We start from the raw sequence: 26,139 nt of genomic DNA, 5'->3' as shown, positions 1-26,139 counted from the left end.
TGTTGTTAGCTTCTGAACATCTCTTTGTGCTCACATTGTATCTCCTTGACTGCCCTCACCACTTTTTAAAATTAATATTCTCATATGTCTCATCCATCAGCCCTTCCAGAGTGCCCTTAAAAGATTTGTAATATTATTTTACCTTCTCATGGTTTGCGATTCCTTCATCCTCACAGAGGGCAGGTTGGTGAGGTTTCTACTGATGGTGTTAAATTGACAAATAGTGGAACACGCAATGATTTCTGCCTATTTGAACCAGAGATGATTGAACGGATAATTCATTATCTTCTGTTAAAGGTCGAGGGGATATTTTCTTGCACCTCAGTCTACTAATAGAAAGTCCTTGGAGAAATTCCACCAGTGCACTTTTCCTCCTGGACCATCAGAAACAGTAGGATTGGACAAATTCTCCTTTTTAGAACCAAATAACACAGGCAACTACAGTCCCTCTCCAAGCAGATTCACCATCTTCTGCTGGCTAAGCTCACCTTACCTCTCTGAAAAGTATAAAAAGTCTTTGTCTTTTCTCCAGGCTCAAGGAAATAAAAATCTGGTCCTCTGTTGCTGGAAACTTTACTCTTGCCTGGATCTAAGGAGAATAAAGCCTGTTCTCTGTCTTCATAATCCCTAGGAGCACCTGAGGCCTCAGATGTGCCCTCCAGGTGCCACCAGCAGGGACGTCTTGCTTGTGGTATTACTGCATATTGTTTCATATAACGGTTAGCAATTACCATTTTTTCTTTTAAGTTGGGGTCTCAGTCTGTTACCCAGGCTGGAGTGCATTGATGCAATCATAGCTTAATGAGACCTCGAATTCCTGGGCTCAAGCCAGCCTCCCATCTCAGCCTCCTGAATAGCTGTGACTACAGGTACACTCCACTATGCCCAACTAATTAAAAAAAATTTTTTTTTTTGTAGAGACAAGATCTTGCTATGTTGCCCAGCATGGTCTTGAACTCCTGTGCTCAGGCGACTCTTCCACCTTGGCCCTCCAAAGCACTGGGATTACTGGCATGAGTCACCATATCTGGTCAGCAATTTAATTTTTATTGCTATATATTATTCCATTGGTGAGTACGGCTTATTTGTTAATTCTTATTGGTAAGAATAGTTCATTTATCAGTTCTATAGCCGAAGAACTTTCAGGTTATTTCCAATTCACGACTACTTTAAGCAATGCTCTGCAAACATTCTTATGGATGTTTCCTGGTACCCATTGGCATTCATTTTTCCTCAGCAGTGGTTTTCAAAGTATGTGTGCTACCTCTAGGGATCCCTAAGACATTCATGAGATGAAAATTTTTATAAGACATTGTTTACTCTTTTCACCAAGTTGACAGTTGCACCGATGGTGCAAAAACAGTGGTGGCAAAACTGCTGATGCCTTAGCATGAATCAAGTTAGTGGTACCAGACTGTACTAGTAGTCATCATATTATTCACCACAATGTGCCACAGTTTAAAAAATTCCAGTTTCACTTAAGAATGTTCTTTAATGCTGGATGCGATGGCTTATGCCTGTAATCCCCGCACTTTGGGAGGCCAAGGCAGGCGGATCACGAGGTCAGGAGTTTGAGACCAGCCTGGCCAATATGGTGAAACCCTGTCTCTACTAAAAACACAAAAATGAGCCGGGCGTGGTGGCACATGCCTGTAGTCCCAGCTACTTGGGAGGTTGAGGCAGAAGAATCACTTGAATCTGGGAGGCAGAGGTTGCAGTGAGCCAAGATTGTGCCACTGCACTCCAGCCTGGGCAACAGAGCAAGACTCCGTCTAGGAAAAAAAAAAAAAGAATGTTCTTTAATAAGCAGGAAAAGTTATCAATTATATTGAATCTTGACTAGAGTACTTTTTAAAAATATTCCATGTAGCATCAAAAAATATCAAGAAAATATCTAAGAAGGATAAGTCTTCTACAAGGAAAGCTCTGTAACTTCATTGAAGGACATTAAAAAGATTTAATAACTGGAGCTATATATCCTGCTTATAGATTAGAAGACTCAATATTGTAAAGATGTTAATTCTCCCAATGATGATTTAAAGATTCATCACACAGAGAGTGCTGACATTGTTTTACATTTTTGCAAAACCCTTTAATATCTAGCTTAATGAAGTCTCTTATTAATGCTAATAGTTGAATTAAAAATTCTTTTTGATTTCCTAGGTGCACAATAATGTTGTCAGTCAATAGCGATAGTTTTACTTTTTCATTTACAATCTTTGTACTTTTTATTTATTTTTATTGCCTTAGTGCACTGGAGATGATCTCTAGCACAATGTTGGACTGCTGTTGTTAGATCAGATGTCTCTGTCTTGTATTTATTTATTTATTTATTTATTTATTTATTTATTTATTTATTTATTTTTTGAGGCGGAGTCTCGCTTTGTCACCCAGGCTGGAGTGCAGTGGCACAATCTCGGCTCACTGCAAGCTCCGCCTCCTGGGTTCACGCCATTCTCCTGCCTCAGCCTCCTGAGTAGCTGGGACTACAGGCGCCTGCCACTACGCCCGGCTAATTTTTTGTATTTTTAGTAGCGACAGGGTTTCACTGTGTTAGCCAGGATGGTCTGGATCTCCTGACCTCGTGATCCTCCCGCCTCGGCCTCCCAAAGTGCTGGTATTACAGGCGTGAGCCACCGTGCCCGGCCTTGTATTTATTTTTATAGATATTCTTCAGTACATTAAGAAAGCACCCTCTCTATTTCTATTCAGCTAGGAGATTACTCCTTAAAATTATAAATGAATGTTGCATTTTATGAAATGATTTTTCTACATGTATTGTGATAATCATATAATTTTTTCCTTATCCTAGTAGTAAGGCAAATCACTTTGATTTTTTTCTAAGGCTGAATCAGCCTTGCATTTCTGCATTAAACTCAATTTATTTATGGTTACATTAGTTTCTAAAATTTTTTTGGAAAATTTTTGCACCTATGTTTGTAGATCAAATTTGCTTATACTTTCTCTTTTTTTCCAATATTTCTATCAGGTTTTGGAGTCAAAGTTATTGCTTGGAAGTGTTCTTTCACTTTTAAAATTCCTCCTGACTGTTGGTATAAATATTTGAGTATTTCTTTCATAAATCGCTGGTAAACCCACTGGTTAAACCATCTGGACTTGGAGAGCAGGAATTTTATTTTTTCATTATTATTTCAATTTTTTTAATGCTTACATAGAATTTTATTTTTTATTATTAATTCAATTTTTAGCGCTTACATAGAATTATTCCATTTTCTCCATAGTTTATATAATTGAGCTCTATTAATGAAAACGTTAATTGCTTTCTGTTTTTACTATTACAGAGGATGCTGTAATGAACACATTTATACAAGCATTTTGCACATTTGTGTGTGTGTTTACATTTTAAATATATTTGTATAAGATAGATTCTTATAACAGAAGTTGCTTGGTCAAGAATATGACAGTTTTAGTTGTCTTGGTCTTGATATCGGACCATTTCTTCCTTGAGGAAGCAGCATTGGGATGAGAAATACCCTCTGGATTAGTTATTGATTGTGTGTAACAAATTACCTTAAAACTTGGTGGCTTAAAACAACAATAAACATGTATTATCCTCACAGTTTCTGTGGGTTGGGAATTTGAGAGTGGCTTAGCTGGGTATTTCTGATGTGGGGTCTCTCTTGAGGTGGTAATCAAGAAGTCAGCCAGGTCTGCAGTCATCTGAATGCTTGGCTGGAGCTGGAGGATCTGCTTTGAAGGGGGTTCACTCTTGTGGCTGGCAAGTTGGTGCTGGCCCTCAATAGGAGGCCTCTGTTTTCCCAATGTGGGCTCTCCACAGGCTGAGTATCATTGCAACATGGTAGTCAGCTTCCCTAGAACAAGTGATGAGAGAGAGAGAGAGAGATATAGTAGCAGTGATGCCTTTTGAACTCTGAAATCATACGCCATCACTTCTGCCATATTCTGCTCATTAGAAGCATAGTATTACATCTGGCCCACATTGAAAGGAAGGGGAATTAGATTACACCTGATGAAGGAAGATGTGTCAAAGGAATTATGAGCGTGTTTTAAAACCATCACAGCCTTTCTCTAAACCTAGTTTAAATGGATTGATTTCCTTAGCGTGAGCTTTCAAAAATATGTATCTAAGAAGTTCTGAGCCCATTGAAGTCACGGAGGTCAATGAGATCAGCTGGTGAGAAAGTGGTACTGGGAATACAAGCTGTCAACCACCTGCTGCCCTTGGTGTCCAGTCCCCAGTGCCCTGGCTACTATCCAGGCTCAAGATTTATGTCTTAATTATGTAAATGAAAAGATTATGCCATCAGGGGCTCTGGTGAGCTAATTACTAAACAAGAAATCAGTGCTGCTGAAGTCAAAACTAATGAATCCCAAGGCTCCCCACACTCTGACTATAATTGCAATAGTGAGGATCTTATTTCAACAGACCATGCCAGAGAGCTGGGAGGGCCTCACACTGTGATTGATTTATTGAGATCCTATCCAAGGTGCTTTTTCTCATGGATGCTGGGTGCTGGAAACAATCCCTGGCCATCCCTCTCCCAATCCATGGGCACTTCTGCACCTATTCAATCACCTGTAATAGCTCAGGCTCTGGGAAATGAATATATGGATTGTTCTGGCCAGTGACAGTGAGGAGGGAGGAGCTTTGGTCAGAGCATCAGCTCAAATAGATGTGACATTTGGAGGACTGAGGCAGGGTGAGAGGGTTTCACTGGGGTCCCTTTCTCCCTCCCTGCTTCGCAAGAGATATCCAATTGCCCCAGACAGTGGACAAAAGCGGACAGAGAGGTCTCTTGACCCTCTGGGCCCCAGAGGCACATGAACCCCTACTCAACTCGTTGTCCCCTCTTCACCCTCCCTCACTCCCACACTGCAGGGCTCTAGGCTCTGTCTCTCTTGCTTTATGTGACTATTTTCCTTTTAATCCAAATTGCCTAGTCTTACCCTTAGCTTTTATCCAGTGCTGCTACAAGAAATAGCCATGTGCAGTCTATTTCTGCAATTATCATAACCATACTGTTGAGGATCATGACTGTTATATCTGCAGCAAAATAATGAGGGGGATTTTTCTGGTGCCCCAGAATTGTGGCTAAGGCCCAAACCAAAGCAGAGGAGAAGAGGCACTGAGGAAGCCTGCATTCTAAACAGAGCTGCCTGGGAGCAGGGCTAACATGTCCTGGCAATGTGGTTTGTAAACCACAGGTTTGCAAACTGGTTGCAGAACTGACCTTCCCCCTTCAAGCCACTCTCCGTCCTGCCTTCTGCTCCTCACTCTTGCAGATACCAAGAGAGGACTGGGGAATGGTATGGGGAGATGGCACCAGAGCTGCAACCTTACAGTGTTGGTGGTGGGGGCAATTCCCTTATCTCCCCATGGGAAGACACATGATCACAGAGACCACTGCACTGGCACTCTGCTCTAGAGACTCTCTAAGACCTGTGGAGATGGCCCATGCCAGTGGAGGGAGAAGGGGCTGCAGAGGGCCTGGGAAAGAAGCACTGGGGTTACCCCATCCTGGGTCTCAGCAGCCCTTGGAGGACACAGTGGAAGTCCACAGTATTGCCTATGGTTCCACACAAGGGGCATGGAATGGAAGGGCAGGAACTGCGGGCTGCCCAGCTGGTTGCCAGAATAAGTCGGGAAGGCACCACTCAGAGAGAGGGGGGCACAGTGCAGGTTGAAGGGGGGCATTACCACCTCCTTTTCAAGTGGTTCCTTCTAGGAGAGGAGACCCGGGTTGAGCTGAATATTGCTCCAAAAAAAGACCCCACCCTCCATGTGGAGACTGCCACTCAGCGGGGTCCACTAACCTCCCACAGAGCCAGGGTGAGCCAGGCTGAGATCAGAGATGCCTCCTCACCACCATCACTCTCGGCCACACTGAGATGCCTCCTGCCTCCCCATCCTTCCTTCCTGCCCCCAAGTCTAGAACCGCTAGATCCAGAGAAGGGAGGAAGAGGAGGAGGAGAAGTGAAGGAGGAGACCATGCTGCTCCCCCACCTCCAAGTCCCTAAAGCCACAGTCTTCCTGGGGTTTGGGACATTGACAAAAGGAAGAGCTTTGAACCAGATATGAATTTGGAGTTTTAAATGGACTGGACTGAGTTTTTAGTAACTGAAAGTGACAGGAATATTTATTCACTTTCTGCCCAAAATATCAAGGGATGGGAGAAAGGGATTTGACAGAACACAGCAGAAAGCAGTGACTAGAAAAAATTAATTTTCATGTTTATACCCCACTGCGTTGAGACTCCTGAATAACCCACTGCACATCATTCCAATCGATGCCCTTTAAATAAAGCCCCATGGAAAGAAAGTCTTCTCAGATTTTTTTGCAAGACTATCCAAGATGTGGGGAAATGTGCACCCTCGCACACTGTGGGAGTAGAGGTAAACTGTAAAGGCAAGGCTTTTCCAGGGAGCGGTGTGTGTCACAAGACTTAACAAGGGCATGCCTTTGATGCAGCAGTTTTACAGTGAGGAAGGTACTTATTGATCATTAAACAGATGTTCATGGAGTACCTATTATGTGTTGGGCACTGTTCTAGGTACATTGACCACTGCAGACATGGTTTCTAGCCTTGTGGACATTACAGCTCAGTGAAGGAAAAAGACAGGGCAACAGGATGCTACAACACAGGCTGATTCCTGCCGTAAGAGAATGAAGAGTGGGTGACGGTGGTGACATGAGAGGTGCAGAGGTCTGTGGTGGAGGTGGGTGTCAGAGGAGACTCATCTGAGGAAGTGATGTCTCTGTTGAGAGCTAAAAGATGAATGGATAAGGGTGCTCAGGCAGTGGAGAGTGTGCTAGGCAGTGGAATGAGGATGTACAAAAGCACAGAGGCAAACAGCGTGACAAGTTCAAAAAACCTGAAGACGTTCAGTTTGGCCAGAAAGAGGAGCAACAGTGAAGGTGCTTTAAGCAGGAAGAAGCTGGAAAGGGACAAGGAGCCCTGAGGGAATAATTCAGGATGCATGCAAAGACTCACCAAAGCATCATTTATGGTTATAATATCTGATGATTGGAGACAACTTAGATGTCAAACAATGGATCACCAGTGGCACCAACACAATAGAACACTGTATGACTATAAAAACAATGCTGTGGATGACTATTTATTGATGTGAAGAGATGCTGAATGTTATATTGTCAAATTAAAAACCAGCATATTGGAGAGCCTTGCAAAAAAAATCAGCATATATAATATAAAATGTACACGCTGGACACAGTGGCTCATGGCTGTAATCCCGGCACTTTGGAAGCCTTGAGACCAGGAGTTTGAGGCTGGCCTGGGCAACATAGTGAGACCCCGTCTCCACGAAAGCCAAGAACACTAGCTAAGCATGGCAGCTAGCTAATGTGCTTATAGTCCCAGCTACTCAGGAGACTGAAGCAGGAAGATTGCTTGAGCCCAGGAGTTCGAGGCTGCAGTGAGCTATGATCAGGGCAGTATACTCCAGCCTGGGCGACAGAGGGAGACATTGTCTCTAAAATATATACATACATTAGTAAAATAAAATAAAATTGTATGCACAGTTTGATCTTATTTTTATTTTAAAAATTATGCAAAGATTCTGGAAAAATACATACCCAGTTAACTGTACTTGTCTCTCGGTGCTGGGGTTGCAGACGAATTTCATTCTTTCCTTTTTGCTCTACTGTAGTTTATACCATATTTCATCTGTGTGCAAGTATGGCCTGGATAATAAGGAAGTGAAAGTTATAAAATATAAAATCTCTGAAATGTAAGCTTAAACAATTTAGTGCCAGGAAAGTCTTGGTTTCCCTATCAAGCATGAAGAAATTATTCAAAATTGAGAAGAAGCTAGTGTAAATGCAACTGACATGGAATATCAATTTAGACATTTATGAGCTCCAACGAACTCTGCATGCTTATTCAGAAGGTGTCCACTCCCCTCCCCAACGGGCTACCATTTCCAGCCACATGCACCAGTTGCTGAGCCCCAGGCAGCGCCAGCTTCTCATGGAAATCTTTAATTCTTGTTCTACCACCTTCTTGGTTCTCTAGTTTTATTTCAGAAGCTTCTTAACCTATTAGGATCTGCAAGCAGATAAGCTTATAACACTACGCTAAGGTCTGTTCAAGGCCTTCTGGGTATCAATAAATTCCAGTGGGTTTACACAACTTTGGGGAAATAGACATCTTCTTCTGGTCCTACTAGTATGTGGCTCACTTTAGGACCTCAGCACACACACCCAGCATGATAAATGTGCATCACCATCTTGCAGAGCCTTGGAGTAGAAAAAGAGAAGCTGGTGAACTTCCTCCTTTCTGAAACTTAACATGTTTCCTTTTTGCCATGGTTACCTGTAATCAGAGTCAATCTGATGCTATTGAATTATTACGGAGAAAGAGTTGCTATTTGAATTCAGTGCTTTGAATTCAATTGATCTTTGAATAAGGAGCTTCTGCAGTGATGTGGACCCTCTGCCTAAAGTGGACCAACATTCTTTCTGTCCCTTGAAAGACACGTGTTTTCCCTGTTCCCATCCCTGTGTTCATGCAGGTCCTCTCACTAGGAAATCCTGCTTTGCTGCACTTTCTGTCTATCCCAATGCTACTGATCCGTCATGACGCAGATCAAGTTTCACCTGTGTGAAGGCTTCCCTGATGCTACAATTTTCATGCATCTAGATTCTATGTGCTCCTTGAAAAGAGCATAGATGTTGCCACTGGAAGTCATAAGATCTAGTTGTAACTTTACTACTTACTACTTGAGTGATCTTGTGAAATTTACTTACCCTTTAAGAACGTCAGTTTTTTTGTTTGTTTGTTTGTTTGTTTCATGGAGACATTGAATAACAGGGCACAGGATTACAGAATATTACAATTTAAGTGCCTTAATTACCAAACGCTACATGTATTCAACAAACATTTGTTAAGTACCAACTAGGCAAGTGACACTGCACTAGGCATTACCCAAATGCTGGTTTTGTTATAAGAAGAAATAATAGTTTTCTAGGGAATTTAGCAAATTACATTGTTTTGTGCTTTTAATGTTTCACCTATGAATGTCTTGTTAAGTCTTTTTTGTATTTTGTATGTTAATTTTTTGTATTGCCAAATATTTATCAAATTCTTATTATGAGCCTAGTGGGGATAAAATGGTGGATAATAATGTTCCCTCCTGCAGCTGTGTGGATTTAAAAAATGGGGAACAATTGAAGATTTTAAGCAAGGGAGTAATTTGTTGGGATTTGTGCTTTTAAAATATGATGCTTTTTCCAAGTAATTGAAACTTTCTCCCCTTCTTTGCTTGTCTAAGTTCTGTCCATTTTTGTTATCAAGTTTGATGTCACTTTCTATTGGGATACTTCTCTGATGTCCAAATTTGGATTTTGGGCCCTCTGTCTGTACCTGTCTGTACCTTTTCTTTTCTACCCTCTGTGCAGCTCTAATGACATGGGTTGTAAAAGTTTGGGTACTTGTCTGTGTGCCCCTAGACCATGAACTCCTGATGAGACATTTCTGGGTTGTGGAAGAAAGAGTGTTTACTAACTGAGAAACCTGGAGGAGAGTCAATATCTGTAGGGAAGTGCCAAGTTTTAGTTAAACTGGGAAGAGAGGAGGCCACTTGGTTGAGGAATCTGGGGGAACATGAACATTTGTTTACCACAGAGTTGATTCTAAAGGAGACTGTGGGCTCTTGCGTTGTGAGGGAGGAAGTCCAAGGGAGTGGGTGAGGAGAGCTAAGCCCAGGGGCAAGGCAGACTGAGTTCGTTCAAGAGAGAGGTCCTGGGTCATTCTCGAAAGAGGAAATCCAAGGCCAGGAGAGCACACTGGCGATGGGTTTAGTTAGTGCCCAGTACTCTTACCATGTGGAGAGAACAACAGCCCTAACTCACCAGAAAAGTATAAGGCCTTTAAGAAATGCTTAAAGTATACCTCAACAAAGTTGGAGGGAAAACTGCAACAAAAAAGGGACAAATGCTTTATAAAATAAATAAATGTCTAAAGAAAATACTAGGTTTATGAATTACCTTCTCCTGCATCAGAAAGAGCAGTGGCTCTAATCTTCTGGCCCACGCAAAGGAAGGCCCAGTAGGTGCCTGGCCGTGGCCACCTGACCTCTGTTGCTGTCAAGGCTTGGGAATTACCTGTCCAGAAATCCAAGAACCTTTGCTTATGAGTTTTGATTTCTCATTAACCTTTATAGGGTTTTCCCTGATAATTAACACATATTATTTACCAGTTCGTCTTCTCCAATTAAGATGATAATTAGCTTCCATGTTCTACCAGCCATTCTATGAAAAAGAGCTTAATGAAACAATCCAGACATATAATCACATTAACAAGAGAGGAACCCATAGGGAGGAGGAGGATTTGAAATGTTTAACAGTTGAGCGGAGAGTCATGGGATTTCAGGGCAAACACAGACCCCATATGGGCTGTCATATATCCCATGGCATGGGAAGGAGAGTGTGGGTCAGTTGGGAAGATTGGGTGTTTTTTTTTTTTTGCCTTGGCAGGTCATAGAAACAGGAAGCTGGCGCATGCAACAGGGTGGGCTACAGGCTTTGATAGAATGGTGGCTAACAACAACAACTGGTATTTGTCAGATGTCTACACTGTGCATGGCATTATGTCAGGTGATCTACAAGCTTTACGTCAATGGATTCTTACTGAAACCCTTTGAGGTAAGTATTATACTTAGCTGTGTATTACTGACAAAACAACTGAGGCTCAAAGAGGTTAAGTAACTTACCTAAGGTCATGCAGCTATTAAGTAGCGAAGCTGAGACTAGAACCCTGGGTGAGCCAAGGTATGCTCCTCCATGTGGTGGGAGATTGATAGAAAGCAAAGAGGTTTGGGGGACAATGGTGCCTGCCTCTAAAGCCATGTGGCTGCCACAAAAATGGCTTGGCCCAACAGTGGCAAGTATATGGCACATATACAGCCTGTCAGTCCCTCCAGCTATTACCCCTGCTAGACATTTCTAGTTTATCATGATCTCTCCCACTGAGCACAGATGTGGCCTCATACTCCTTCTCACCACAGCATTGCAGGCAGCCACTAAGTCAATCAGAACTGACATGTCAGATGAAACCACTTTGCCATTCCTAACTTAGATGCTCTGTAAAAACATGAGTGGCAAAGCATCGGGCTCAGAGTTTGCAGGAACCAGCCCTAGATCCTGGTTCTTCCTCTTCCAGCAGTTCCCAGAGCTTATCGCACCATCTGTGAAATCTGAAGTATTGTTGTGAGGATTCAATGGAGTAATATCTGCTGATGTGCGAACCACAGAGCCTGCAGGAGAGTAAGTCGTTGGGAAGGGCTGGCTTCCTTCTTTTACAATGGCAGTCAGTATGTTCAGGCTTATGTCAGGGCCAAGGATGGGTTTCTCAGTCTTAGAAACCTCCCTGGTGGGGAAAGGCTGTGACACAGTAGCCTAGATCCCAGGGAATACATGGAGAGGTGGAGTGTCCAGGGGTGAGGACTGAGAGTAGCTAGAGTGACTGATGTGCTGGAGAACAGTCCAGCTGGGTGTGGAGGGAGGCCCATGGAAGAGAGGGGCAAAGAAGCCATTTCCAGCAAAAACCAAGAATCCTTGGGCTGGGCCCCACCTGGATACAAATCCAAATCTATACCAGCCAATGTGAGCCAGGCAAGGTGGCCTGAGCTGAGGCTTCAGGAACCCTGGGATAAAGAATGTGTGCTAGACAAACAGAATGTGTCTTGCTTGGCCTTTTCACTATTTTCCATTTAGGCTGTGTTTGGTTTTCCTTTAGTTTTCTAAAGTTTCAAAATACTAACTTCTTTATTGATTTAAGAGGAAAAGGGAAACTCTCTATACCAAAGAAGGAAGGTGGGAAGGTTCAGAGTGGCCTATGCCAAGTCCTGAGGGCACTGACCACCTTGGGGGCAATGAGAAGAGCCATGGAGCTGGAGAAGCCAAAGAGAGGACAAGCAGAGTGAAGAGGAGGTATTCAGGAAAGCAGTTGTCAGTAGACTTCCATGTCTTTTGCTACCTTTGATTTAAGTCTCCTTCTGCCAGGTAAAGTAGAGCACTGCATGTCCCTCTTGAGTTCCAGTGTCCTGCCATCTCATGTAGCCCTTCCGGGTCTTGACTTTGAGTTGATGGAGGTGAGAGAGATCTAGAAAGAGCTCTTAGTGGGTAATGTGAGCAAGTCAGGAAACTCAGCTCAGAGCACCAGATCTGGGCAAAAGGGGTGGATCTGAGTCTTAAGGAGAAGGAAGGAAACCACTGTTCAGAACTGGGTTTCAGTTTAGGGTGGTGTTAGGCCTTTCTGATGCAAAGGACTAGAGGCTTTCTTGATCATCTTCAGTAAGTGTGTATGTGTGTGTGTGCTTGGAGTAAGGGAAGAAGTATTGAAAGGAAGAACATGGAAATAAGGTAATTAGAAACCTCAACCACATGGCCAGATGTCAAGAGTGCCAGGGAGAGTTTAGTAATCAGGCCTTGCAAGAAGAAAAGAAACTAATATCCTGGTGGATTTTTTGGAGACCAGAACTGGAAGACTGGGCAAAGTTCCAGTCACTCTAGGGATTAGGATCAATTTTCATCTTCACAGAAGTGTTTTCTGCTCTACATGTCTGCTTCTTTGTGTTATCTACTTTACAGGATATGGACCAATGCCCTCACCCTACTCATATCTTTGGCTTATTTATAATTTTGGTTTACTCATAAACATCACTTACTCATGATTGCTCATGGTTCTTGCCTTCTTTTGACCTCTCTCTGCATCAGTTTCTGCTCCCAATGCCAACCGAATAATTCTCTTTAAAGAATCTCATAGTTTACATTTCTAACAGATAAAATCTAAATGGTCCAGCTAATCATAATTGTCTCCATTGAGAAAGAACTTTTCAGTCAGACCACCTCATGGATTGTCTGCTCTGGGCTGTCAACGATGAGAGAAGAAGTTTCTTATTGGAGGCAGCAGGGGACTGTGCAACTGTGCAGCAGGTCTGTGTCCTATCTCCGTCCACATTGGAAGCTCTCATAGGGCAAGGCCTGGGAACTGAGCAGTTCTCTGCATGCTCCTTTTGAGAGCATCCCAACTTCTGTAGGGTCTTGATCTTCATCCATAATGATGACTGGGTTCATTTACCTCACCTTACTCTCAGCAGCCTCTACCCTAATAGCTGGATTTTTTATTTGGCGCTCTACCAGTCAGAGTCCTAGCAGGACACATGAAAATCATATGCAAGACATACGAAAATCATATGCAAGGCATATGCAAATCATAGGATCAATTGAGAAGAGTTTAGAGGGAAAAAAAAAAAAGACCACGGCTGGGCATGGTGGCTCATGCCTTAATCCTAGCACTTTGGGAGGCCGAGGTGGGTGGATCACCTGAGGTCAGGAGTTCGAGACCAGCCTGGCCAACCTGGTGAAACCTCATCTCTACTAAAACTACAAAAATTAGCTGGGCATGGTGGTGGGCACCTGTAATCCCAACTACTTGGGAGGCTGAGGCAGGAGAATCACTTGAACCCGGGAGGTGGAGGTTGCAGTCAGCCATTGCACCATTGCACTCCAGCCTGGGCGATTTAGGACTGGTGACAGTGGGGCTCCATTACAACTTGAAGGACCTGAAGGGGCCAAGAAAGGAGCAGTTACCAGGAGGGAGGAAGAAGGAGAGTGAGAGCGAGAGGCGTACAGAAGCTGTGACCTGTGGCCTAGAGTTGCAGGCTCCCCCATGCCCCCGGAGTGATCTAGAGACTGATCCTGACCTCGTTCTCTCTCCCTCTGATTTCCTTCCCGTATTCCAACCCAATGCTCAGGAAGGCAGAGTGTGAGGGGGCCTTGATTCAGTCTACATGGGTCAGCTCCCAGAGTGTGAGCAGGGTGAAGGGCAGAAAGGAGACCTGGAAGGACAAAACTGAGATGTCCAGCACAGGGCTTTCCTCCCTGGCAGTGGTCTTGAATTTAGAATTTGAGCACTGTTCAGCTGGTACCTACATTTCCTGGTTTGAGTTTTGCAAATCTATACTCTATGGCTGGCAGACAGCCAGGGAGAGAAGGCAGCCAGCAGTATGGGTCACACGATGTTGAGGGTGCATACCCCAGGGGATGGAAGGTGTAAGGCATGGAAGGCGAGACAGCCTGGAAGGCAGAAGTTGATGTGTGGAAGCCTGGGCAACAGGTAACAGGTCAGTGGTGCCATCATGGGAACAAGAAGGTCCAACTTGGAGGGACAGAGGACATCCACCTGGTTAGTTGGGCACAGCCATGAGGTCTCTCAGGGAGGATTCAGAGTCCTCAGCAGATAGATTTAGCTCAACATTTATTCTTTTCTTTTTTTTTTTTAATTTCAGTAGGTTTTTTGGGAATAGGTGGTGTTTGGTTACATGAATAAGTTCTTTAGTGGTGATTTCTGAAATTTTGGTGTGCCCATCACTCAAACAGTGTACACTGTACACAATGTGTAGTCTTTTATCCCATGTTACCCCCTTTAAGAAATGCTTAACGTATACCTCCCCCAAGTCCCCTAAGTCCAATGTACAATTCTTACACCTTTGAGTCCTCATAGCTTAGCTCCCATATATGAATGAGAACATGTGATGTTTGGTTTTCCATTTCTGAGTTACTTCGCTTAGAATAATAGTGTCCAATTCCATCCAGGTTGCTGCGAATGCCATTATTTTGTTTCTTTTCATGGCTGAGTAGTATTCCATCATGAGTGTATATATATATATATATATTATGTATATATATATTATATATACACATCATATATATATTATATATATATAATATATATATAATATATATATATATTATATATATATTATATATATATATATATATTATATATATATATATATATAATATATATATATAATATTTGCTTCATCCAGTCATTGATAGATGAGCATTTGGGTTGGTTCCATATTTTTACAATTGCAAATTGTGCTGCTATAAACATGCATGTGCAAGTATCCTTTTTGTATAATGCCTTCTTGTCATCTGGGTAGATTCCTAGTAGTGGGATTTTCTTTAAGGAATCTCCACTCTGGATTTTCCATAGTGGTTGTACTAGTTTACATTCCCACCAACAGTGTAAAAGTGTTTCCTTTTCACCACATCCATGCCAACATCTGTTATTTTTTGATTTTTTGATTATGGCCATTCTTGCAGGAGTGTGGTGGTATCACATTGTGGTTTTGATTTGCATCATTTTGCATTAATGATTTTGATCATTAGTGATGTTGAGCATTTTTCCATATGCGTGTTGGTCATTTGTATATCTTCATTTGAGAATTGTCTATTCATGTCCTTGGCCCACTTTTTGATGGGATTTTTTTTTTTCTTGCTAGTTTGTTTGTTTGAGTTCTTTATAGATTCTGGATATTAGTTCTTTGTCAGATGTACAGATTGTGAAGATTTTCTCCTACTATGTGCATTTTCTGTTAACTCTGCTGCTGATTTCTTTTGTTGTGCAGAAGATTTTAGTTGAATTAAGTCCCATCTATTTATCTTTGTTTTTGTTGCATTTGCTTCTAGGTTCTTGGTCATGAACTCTTTGCCTAAGCCAATGTCTAGAAAGGTTTTTCCAACGTTATCTTCTAGCATCTTTATGGTTTCAGGCCTTAGATTTAAGTCTTTAATCCATCTTGAGCTGATTTTTGCATAAGGTGAGAGATGAGGATCTAGTTTCATTCTTCTGTATGTGGCTTGCCAATTATCCCAGCACCATTTGTTGTATAGAGTGTCCTTTCCCACTTTATGTTTTTGTTTGCTTTGTCAAAGATCAGTTGGCTGTAAATATTTGGCTTTATTTCTGGATTCTCTCTTCTGTTCCATTGGTCTATGTGCCTATTTTTATATCAGTACCATGCTGTTTTGGTGACTATGGCCTAGTAGTATAGTGTGAAGTCAGGTAATGTGATTCCTCCAGATTTGTTTTGTTTTTGTTTCTGTTTTTGCTTAGTCTTGCTTTGGCTATGCGGGCTATTTTTTGGTCCCATATGAATTTTAGAATTTTTTTCTAATTCTGTGAAAAATGATGGTGGTATTTTGATGGGAATTGCATTGAATCTGTAGATTGCTTTTGGCAGTAAGTTCTTTTTTCTTTTTTTTTTTTTTTTTTGAGATGGAATCTTGCTCTGTCACCCAGGCTGGAGTGCAATGGCATGATCTTGGCTCACTGCAAGCTCCTCCTCCCGGGTTCACCCCATTCTACCTCCTCAGCCTCCCAAGTAGCTGGGACTACAGGCACCCGCCACCACGCTTGGCTAATTTTTTGTATTTTTTGTAGAGACGGGGTTTCACTGTGTCACCCAGGATGGTCTCGATCTCCTGACCTCATGATCTGCCCTCCTCGGCCTCCCAAAGTGCTGGGATTACAAGCATGAGCCACTGCGCCCGGCCACGGTATGATCATTTTCACAATATTGATTCTACAAATCCGTGAGCACGGGATGTATTTCCATTTGTTTGTGTTGTCTATGATTTCTTTCAGCTGTGTTTTGTAGCCATGTTTTCCTTGTAGAAGTCTTTCATGTCCTTGGTTAGGTATATTCCTAAGTATTGTATTTATTTATTTATTTATTTTGCAGCTATTGTGAAAGGGATTGAGTTCTTGATTTGATTCTCAGCTTGGTTGCTGTTGATGTACAACAGCAGCTCAACATTTATTAAGTGATCTTCTCTGCTTCTAGCACCATGTAAGGCACCGAGAAACTAAAGATGGATAACAAAGTATTTTCCAGTAATTTCAATATAATGTGAAGTGTGATTAGATAGTGTGCCCAAGGGCTCTGGGGGCCCCATCTGAGACTTTCTGGGGAGAAGGAGGCCTGGGCCCCTCCAGAAAGTTAAGTGAGAGTCAGGCTAAGTAAGGAGGGAATAACATCCCAGCCAGAGGGAATGGTAGAAGAAAACATGAATGCAAGTGCCCATGGTAAGGTCAGGCATTGCTGTGAAGTGGGAGGTAAAACATCGTGAGAGATGCGACTGGAGATGTGGATGGAGAAGGCAGGCCATGGCAGGCTGGGAGCAGACAGAGGCGCACACTTCACTGTGTGGCCAATGGGCAAGCCTTGAAGGGTTTTAAGAGACGTCCAATGTGATCATGTCTGTATGTGGATGGCCCTCTGGAGGCTAGGCCCAAGCTGGATCAATGGGTAAGTCTAGAGACAGAGAGAGCAGTGAGGAGGTAATTAAATAGTCCAAGTGGGAGAGGATGAGGCCTGAGCTAGGCAGGAATGAAAGCTGGAGCTGCCCCTGCAGAGCCCAACAGGGAGCAGCCATGCTCAGAAATCCCCCGCCCTCCTCGGCTGGCATGGTGGGAATGTATTACTGCTGATGTCCCTGAGGCAGGGTGGCTTTCCCCACCTGTCTGGCTGAGCACCAATTTGCCCTAAACTATACTTAAGACTGTCATGACATAAGCAAATGAAATTGCCTATAGGTGATTATAGGATTATCTGAAGGGCTCAGGGAAATCCAGGTGCTTCTCAGTTTTCCAACCTGAGTGGCAGAGATCAGACGGCCCCTCTGGGAAGGTTTGCTGGATACTGCTGGGAGCTGGGAAGTGTGGGGAAGGGTGAGGAGGGATGCCGTCTCCCTAGGTGGAGAGCTTCACATGCACTCTGTGACAGTCACAAGGGCGAAGGGCATACTCATGGAAGCAGATGGGCTTACCTCACAGCTCCTACTAACTCGCCTGCCTGAGAGGTCAGGCACATCACTAAAAATAGCAAACCCCAATTACAGAGTACTTCCTAGGGCCCAGGCAATCTTTCTCAAGGTGTTCCCATAGACAGGATCACATATAATTACCACAAAAACTTTTACAAGTAGATCTGAGGGAAGGTGAATCAAATGGAAGAGTCAGTCCCTGGCTCTGAGGGAAGGCTGGGAACATGGACAAAGAAATTTCTGCTCTGGGACTTCTGGGCCCCTTCTCTCTAATCCAAACAGACCAGGAGTGCAGACAGGGCTGGGGTGACCAGTGGGCTGGCCCCTTTCTAACCTATCTCTGAAAATGAGAAGGGGCGGTGCCCAAAGCACAAGCATGTTGAAGTACAAAGACGGCCAGTTAAGGCTTTGGTCTCTTCCCTCTCTCCATCTTCTGCCATTCTTCTGCCACCTCCCACCTCCTCTCTCCTTTTCTTCTTTCTTATATCCACAAGATATCTGGCATCATCTATCTACTTTCAAAAACCCCTGCAGTCAGGCCCACCTGTACAGCCCCCATCTATCCAGATGCTGAGCAAAAGGATGTCTTCTCCCCATCCCTCCCTCCATCAAAACTTTCACACCCCCAGTGCCTGGAAAGCAATCTCTGTTAACCAGCTCACACTCAGGTATGTGTAACAGAAAAATCACCCTTAAATTTCCACCCTTACATTTGCTCACTGAGCCAAATTATTAATTGGGACTAAGTAATTGGGGAGGTTTCTTTTAACAGACACTTGTTGCGAGTCTGCCCTGTGTCAGGTTCTGTGCTGGGGGCATGGAGGGACACAGGTGAGCTGTAGGATTTCACACTTTAGTTGAGAAGCAAGACAGGAACACAAATGACAGTGTAATCAATGTCACAAAGAGGTACAGCTCTTTATTAATACTGGGGTGCGGGAAATGAGGAAAGGCCTCATGGAACTCAACTATGTGAGTTGGGCCTTGAAAAACCAGCAGGAAATGGATGTATGGATGCAGGGAAGAGGGCTCTCAGGCATTTCAGACAATGGTAGTATGTGTCTGGAGGTGGACCTGGAACAAGTACCCAGGAGACAACAGGTGATCCCAAAGTGTGAGGAAGATGCTTCTGCTCGAAGAAGGCAGAGAAAGGGGTTCCTTTAAATTTCATCCCTCACTTTTTTCCTGCAGGAGAAGGACTCAAGGTCTGCAATGATTTTTCTTCCATCCTCACAGGATTTCCCACACATCCCAGTCCCTCCCTCACTGGATGAAGGGGCTGGACAAAGGGGCTGTCTTGTCTTTCCCCCATCTTGACTGAGAGCTTGCCTTGAACCATCTCCTAGCAACCCAGCTCCCACCTGACTCTCCAGCTTTGTGGGCAGACCCACCCGTCATCAGCTCTGACCAGGTGCAGGTGACAGACCTGGAGGGCTCTATGGGGTCTCAGAGCAACACCCCAACCTTTCTCAATGGCTCCTTTCCTTCCCCCCTGGTATGACCCCCACAAATACTTGGTTTCTATAACTGTAATAATAGTCCTCCCTCTGAATAGCTTACCCACTATTTATGCCTAATTACCATATAGCACAATAATGATTATGTATAGCACTAAATGTGTCAGATTAACTTTGCTCAAAGTTTTGCTTCATTACAACACCAAACTCGATTCATGTGCATTGAGTATTTAACCTCTCTGGGCTTCAACTCCCACATATGCGAAATGAGGGGTAGGGATTATTTCAGTGCTTCCCCTGCTGCTTGGTGTTCAGTATCACTGGTTGGCTTTTTAGAAATACAGAAGGCTAACCCCGACCCCTTAAATTATAATGTAACGGTTCTGGCATTGGGCCCCCATATCTATATTTTTCTTTTAGTTTCCCAGGGATTTCTATTAAATCCAATCCAAAGATTGACATATGGGAAACTCTGGAGTAGGTCATCTCTGCCACCCTTTCCAAACCTCATTGATTCATTTATTGATTCACTCACTGGGAGGGGCAAGTACCAGCAATGAGGCTGGAAAGAGGCAAGGATGGATGTGGTGTTAGCATGATTAGAATTTATCTCAAAGGCAACAGGAAAGGCTTTGAAGGGGAGTAAGTAGGATGACATCATCAGATTTATGTTTAAGAGGCAGCATTGTTTTGCAGTGTGGAACATGGGCTGGAGTAAGGACAGCAGCAGAAGGCTTCATAATCATCTGCATGGGACAAGATGATGGCTGGACTGGAGTGGTGGCAGTGGGGGTGGAGTGAGTGGGTGGATCTGTGTAGCATTCAGAAAGTAGAATAAGCAGAGCTCGGCTTTATTTTTTCCTTTGGATCCGGGATATGGTGATTTGTTGTTTCGCTGCACCACCTCTGTCCTCTTCCTATACTGTAGAATCCCTGTGTGGGTCTTGGTGGCAGGCAGAGCCCTCACCCCACTGAAAGGTGCAGCTCATAGCCCTGCTCAACCAATGAGTGGCAGCTGCCTCAGATTTTGACTGAGGAGCTAGTGACTCAGAGAAGCAAGGACTCTGGAGAATCAATCCTAGAGGTAGTACCAGTAGCCACAACTTTCAGTTTTCCAGGAACAGCATAACAGGGTGCCAGAGGGTTGCCAGTGTCTGGTACCAGCCAAGGTGGAGATGCCATCTGGTGCCCTGTATTTAGCTATGATAGCTAAGTTCTCACTGGACTGCTGCTCCAGCTTGATTTTGGTTGAAAGCCTAACAGTAGCTAGCTTTATTCTCCCTGCCTGTTTTACAAGTCTGGTTCTCTAATCTCTATGATTCTGTGAGCTACTACAATATTTTCCATGAATTCCTTTTCTGCTTAAACTGTCAGAATTGTTTGTTTCTCACATTCGTGTTCCCAACTGCTACCCTGATTGTGTTGGAGGAAGAGGGGGTATGAACAGTTGGATGGTGTGGTCCTCAGAGATGAGAAACACAGCCAGAGGGTCAGGTGTGAGCAGAAGAACCCCAAGTGCTGCTGGTTATAGACTAAAAATGCCTTTGCTCCTTATTCACTCACCCTCAATAAAGAAGGAGCCGAGACTGAGTTTTTCTTCTCCATTGAGAGCTTTCTTTGAACTGCACAGCTCCATTCAGAAACTGAATGGTTGAATGGTCCTTGCATTTGCAGACTTTCTGAAATCTAACATCCTAGTTTCATTGCCTGCTCTCATCCTCATAATCTTCCAAGTGCTCTCCCCAAATTAACAACATTCTTGCCATCACAAGACTATTGGAAGGTAAATAAGATCACAGATGAGAAAGTGCTTTGTCATCTATGGAAAGGACTGAAGAACTTCAAGGCAGTAGATTGTACTTACCTAAATACAACTTCAGAAGTTATATGTAGATTGTTTTCTAACTTTGATCACTTTCCCACCTATTTACTTGGTAGTTTACGAGATGTTTTACTTTGTTTTCACATAGATTGGCAACTGCAGTAACCACTGAAACACAAGATTTTTTTTTTTTTTTTTTTTTTTTTTTTGTGACAGAATTTCACTCTTGTTGCCCAGGCTGAAGTGCAATGGCACAGTCTCGGCTCACTGCAACCTCCACTTCCCGGTTCAAGTGATCCTCCTGCCTCAGCCTCCCAACTAGCTGGGATTACAGGAGCCCACCACCATGCCCGGCTAATTTATTTTTAGTGGAGATGGGGTTTCACCATGTTGGCCAGGCTGGTCTCGAACTCCTGACCTCAGGTGATCCACCCACCTCGGCCTTCCAAAGTGCTGGGATTACAAGTATGAGCCACTGCGCATTTTAAGTGCATAGTTCAGTAGGATTAAGTACATTCATGTTGTGTAAGCATCACTACCGCTCCACTTTAGAGCCAGCCTCGATCTTCCAAAGTACCGGGATTACAGGCGTGAACCACCACGCATTTTAAGTGCATAGTTCAGTAGCATTAAGTACATTCATATTGTTGTGTAAGCATCACCACCACTCCACTTTAGAACATTCTTCATGTTCTCATACCGAAACCCCATACCCATCAAATATGTCCCCATTTGTCCCTGCCTCCAGCCTCTGGCCACCACCAATTCACTCTCTGTCTCTGTAGATTGACTCTAGATACCTCATATAAGTGGCATTGTACAGTATATGTCCTTTTGTAACTGGCTTATTTCACTTGGCACAATGTCTTCGAGATTCCATGAGGTAGCAGGTGTGAGAATTTCTCTCCTTTGTTAAGACCTAATAATATTCCTTTGCATGTAAATACCACATCTTGTTTATCCATGTTGATGGACACATGGCTTGTTTCCACCTTTTGGCTATTGTGCATAGTGCTGCTATGAACATAGGTGTGGAAATGAGGTGTATATTTTTATGACCTCTTCCCATCAAGCAATTAAATTTCTAATATGAATAATTGCACTCTGAGTTATCTGTTCTGTAACTCTGAAGAACTGTGTAACAGAATTTCTTAAAGTGAGTCATCCCTGTATTCTCTTTACTCTTTCAAAATAGGAGGCAGCAAAGAACAAATGTCCATTTCACACCCAGGTGGAAAGGCCCATTAGAGTCTACCAGTGAGGAAATCATTTTCTAAGGGTGATTACACACGCAGATGTCAAAACCCTCAGGTAACTCTCTGCTCTCCTGCCTTGGTTGGACAGTGCCCTGAACTTCTGTCCTTCTCAGAAGATTCTCCCCTTGCCCACCCTTCTCTGGGGTCTACCATCTCGACTACCTTCAGTCCCTTCCCTAGATTATCCTACATGGGGCTGTAGATCCCTCAATAACAACAATATCCAAGAATTCCACACCTCTCTAAGGTTTTCTGCATTTGAGGGATGTAATAAAGTACAAAAGAGATGATTTTTTTTTGCCCCATACTTCCTTTGACCCAGATAGATTGATGTTCTACTGCTCCCCAAGTCATTTGCAAATGGCACAAGAACTAAGACAAAAGAAGAGGATGAGAAAAGAGAAATTCCAAGAGCTTGGAAATGGGGGCTCAGTTTTTATCTACAAAGTGGGTTAAGAAATGGAGAACTGTAACACCATATAGAAGATGTCTATATTTCCTGCGTCACTTCTCCAGTTGAAGTTTTCTGTAAGGGGGGAAGACCCATGGAATATCAATATGTGTGGGCTGTCGTTCCCACTTATTCTTCATGATAGCACTGCAATGTGGCTCTCCATCCCCATTTCACAATCCAGAAAACTGAGCCCCGGAGCCATTCAGAATTTCCCAAGGTTGTGGAGTTTAGATGGGAACAAACTTCTGTGTGACTCCAGTGTTGCTACTGACATGACCCCGCTCTGCCTTCCCCACCTTTCAGATGAGAGCATTTCCCTTGTTTTCTGTGAGATGATTTTTAGAAGGGGACTGTGACAGTCTGTTCTCTCTGGGGGTACATCAGAGTTTGAAGGAGATCAGCAAGGGTCCCCCCTCTTTCTAAGCTGCAGCGAGCAGTTCTTGGAGCTCGGGAGGAAGTTCTAGCTCTCCCTTATTCTCTGTTGGCTTTCTCCTTTGTTTCTCTTACAATGGGCCAACAAAACCCCCATCTGTCCCTAACTCATTTCCTAGCCCTGCCTGAATGTCTTTGCTCCCCCCAATTCATATGTTGAAATCCTAAGCCCCAGGATTATAAAATTAGAAAGTGAGCCTGTAATCCCAGCACTTTGAGAGGCCAAGGCAGGCGGATCACCTGAGGTCAGGAGTTCGAGACCAGCCTGAGCAAAATGGAGAAACCCCATCTCTACTGAAAATACAAAATTAGCTGGGTATGGTGGCGCATACTTGTAATCCCAGCTACTCGGGAGGCTGAGGCAGAAGAATCACTTGAACCCGGGAGGCGGAGGTTGCGGTGAGCCAAGATAGCACCACTGCACTCTAGCCTAGGCAACAAGAGCAAAACTCTGTAAAAACAAAACAAAACAAAACAAAACACAAAACAAAACAAAGGGAAAGTGAGGCCTTTGGGCAGTGAGGAGGTCATGAGGACAGAAGAAGACACAGCCCTCATAAATAGGATGGATGAGTCCCCTTGTAAAAGAGGCCCAAGAGCACTCATCCACCCCTTCCACCATGTGTGAACACAGTGAGAAAGTACCATCTATGAAACAGAAAGCTGGCTCTCACCAGACGCCAACTCTGCCAGCACCTTAATATTGGACTTCCCAGCCTCCAGAACTGTGAGAAATAAATTCTGTTTGTAAACCACACAGTTTACAGTATTTTGTTATATTAATAGCATCCCAGATGGACTAAGACAACCCCTAATACCCACTACTACTTATTTCCTTACAACTTTCAACAATGAAAAGGGTAGAAATAAATGAAAGATTTAGGAGGTACATCAGGTGGAACTTCCTGACTCCAAGGAGGTAAAGAATTCAAAGAGGCTGTTGTAGATCCTTTTTCAGGAAAGCTATAAGGCAAAGGGACACCCTGCCCCCACCCCGCCCACTTGGACTGGGCACACTCCTGCCTAGAGGCAGGGGGAGGCACCAAACGACCTCCAGAGGGCCCTGCTAGCCCAGGAAGCTGGGAGCCTCTGGTGCAGCCGCTGCTTGGCCGCAGATGTTCCCTGTCATCAATCACACAGTGCATCTGTTTGCTGTGCCGCTTGTTTAAAGAGTGAGGCGTTTGCTAATTGAAAACTAAAAGATCCATCCGTCTCACTCACAGCCAGCATGAAATCCACTCAGCCATGTAAGATTGGGGTAAAAAAGGCAGCGCAGAGCTACAGTGTCCTTGGGTGGGTGCACCTTATGGAGCTCATCTTCTTCCTGCTTCTGCCTCCTGATGAACAGGGCTCCCCTCCCCACCCCAGAGCAGCCAGAGATGGCCCATATTACCATTGTCTAACATGTCCTCATCTATTTTTCTCAGTAAAGCTCAGAGATCGTTATTTTTAGTCCCCACTTAAAAATGGAGAAACTGAGACTTCGCGAGATCAAGCAATTTAGGCAAGCCCACACAACAGGTAGGTGACCAAGGCGGGACACCAATCCAGGTGCTCTGGCTAGTCTGACCCATCCCTGAACCTATGTAGAGGTGCTGAGTTGGGAGGTACCAAATATCTCCTTATGTGGATTAAACCTAGGAAAGAATGGTCCAAGGGTATACAAGGGAAACACTGGGATGTCAACCATATCTGTAATGGCTGATCCCTTAAAGGCAATTATGGCAACATTCTAGGACTCCTATTGGTGTAATATCTCCCTATAGAGCCTGCAGGCAAATGGAGGCCAGTCCAGATCAGCAAGATCCAGGGGCAGGAGCTGGGAAGAGTCATGGTGGGGTGAGGTGGGGAGCCCACAGCTTCCTCTGCTCCCGTGCCTCCAGAGATGGCTGCATTTGAGAGAGGTGCTGTTTTGTGCCTCTGGAGAGGGGGACGGTTCAGTGCTGGACTCTGTGGGATTTGCAAGGACACTCCATCTCTCTGGGACTCAGTTCTCCCTTCTGAGGTGAGGCGGAATTGGATGAATGTTAAGGTCCTTTCCAGCCCTCACTTTCTATAATTGTGTGTGTCATTGGAGGAAATGCTGAGATGAAGTTAATCCTTGTGGCCCAGAGAGGCTGGATTCCAGCCATGCAGGGCCGACTCCCTGCTCTGCAGAGTCAGTCCTCTGCCCCTGCTCTTCCCTCTCCCTGGAGTGTTGTGCCACCTTCTCCCCTTGGGAACTGGTGTTGCTCCTTCAATGCCCGGTTCCTGTAAAGTCTCGCTTTTTTGTGCTTCACAGCACCTGTTTAAGCCTCAGTTATTTCCCTGGGGGTCCCCTCTCTGGATTGCCAGGGTGCGGGATCAGGGGCCTGGTTTTCTTTCTGTGTGTGACTTCTGAATCTGACACAGAATCTGGCAAACTGAGGACAGTTGGTAACTAATTGCTGCAGAAGAAAGAAAAGAAAGAGAAAGAAAGAAAAAGAAAGGAAGGAAGAAAGAAAGAAAGAAAGGAAAGAAAGAAAGAGAAAGAAAGAAAGAAAGAAAGAAAGAAAGAAAGAAAGAAAGAAAGAAAGAAAGAAAAGAAAAGAAAAGAAAGAAAAGGAGAGAGGAAGAAAAGGGGAGAAGAACGAGGTTCCTCTGCAGCCCAAATGACAGTGGGCAGGGTAGCAGCGGAACACCCTTCACCACTCTATCTCTTTCTCCCTCTCCCCACTCCCTGCCTCACACACCTCAGTTTGGAGTCAAGGGTGAGCTGGAACCCCTGAGGCCTCCTTTTGCATTTCCATGTCAGGTCAACTCCAAACAGGCTTTTTCCTTTGGATGAGTCCAGCAATAGAACTGACTACATAGATTCCAAGACCTGAAGTCAGAAAACGGATGCGGACCTCTTCCAACACCTCCTCTCCTTGCCTGACTTGCTGGATGGGTGGTGCCTCCCGCAACCCTTGGCTTCTGAGTCCTCAAAGGAGAAGACTGGCGAGCAGACGGTGAGGACCCAGCCTGCAATCACAGCTTATTACTCTGGGTGTGGGTGGGAGCGCAGTGGGCGGTCGAGGGTTGCGTTCCCGCCTCAAAACAAGGGATGGCGGAATCCCCCAACCCCTCCTACCCGTTCA

The 26,139-nt window shown here is 44.1% G+C and overlaps 1 long non-coding RNA gene across 1 annotated transcript; it reads left to right on the top strand.

Moving 5' to 3' along the window:
* Positions 1-924: 924 nt before the first annotated feature.
* Positions 925-26,139, top strand: LOC105369501 (uncharacterized). Its single transcript, XR_948024.2, has 6 exons — positions 925-1,030; positions 10,478-10,645; positions 11,163-11,266; positions 22,095-22,210; positions 24,469-24,562; positions 25,815-26,139. It is a non-coding gene; the product is annotated as an uncharacterized LOC105369501 (long non-coding RNA).

The sequence above is a fragment of the Homo sapiens genome, chromosome 11 (assembly GCF_000001405.40).
Source record: "Homo sapiens chromosome 11, GRCh38.p14 Primary Assembly".
Taxonomy (NCBI): domain Eukaryota; kingdom Metazoa; phylum Chordata; class Mammalia; order Primates; family Hominidae; genus Homo; species Homo sapiens.
Note: the sequence above shows the minus strand (reverse complement) of the source record. Positions and strands in the feature narration are given on the sequence as shown.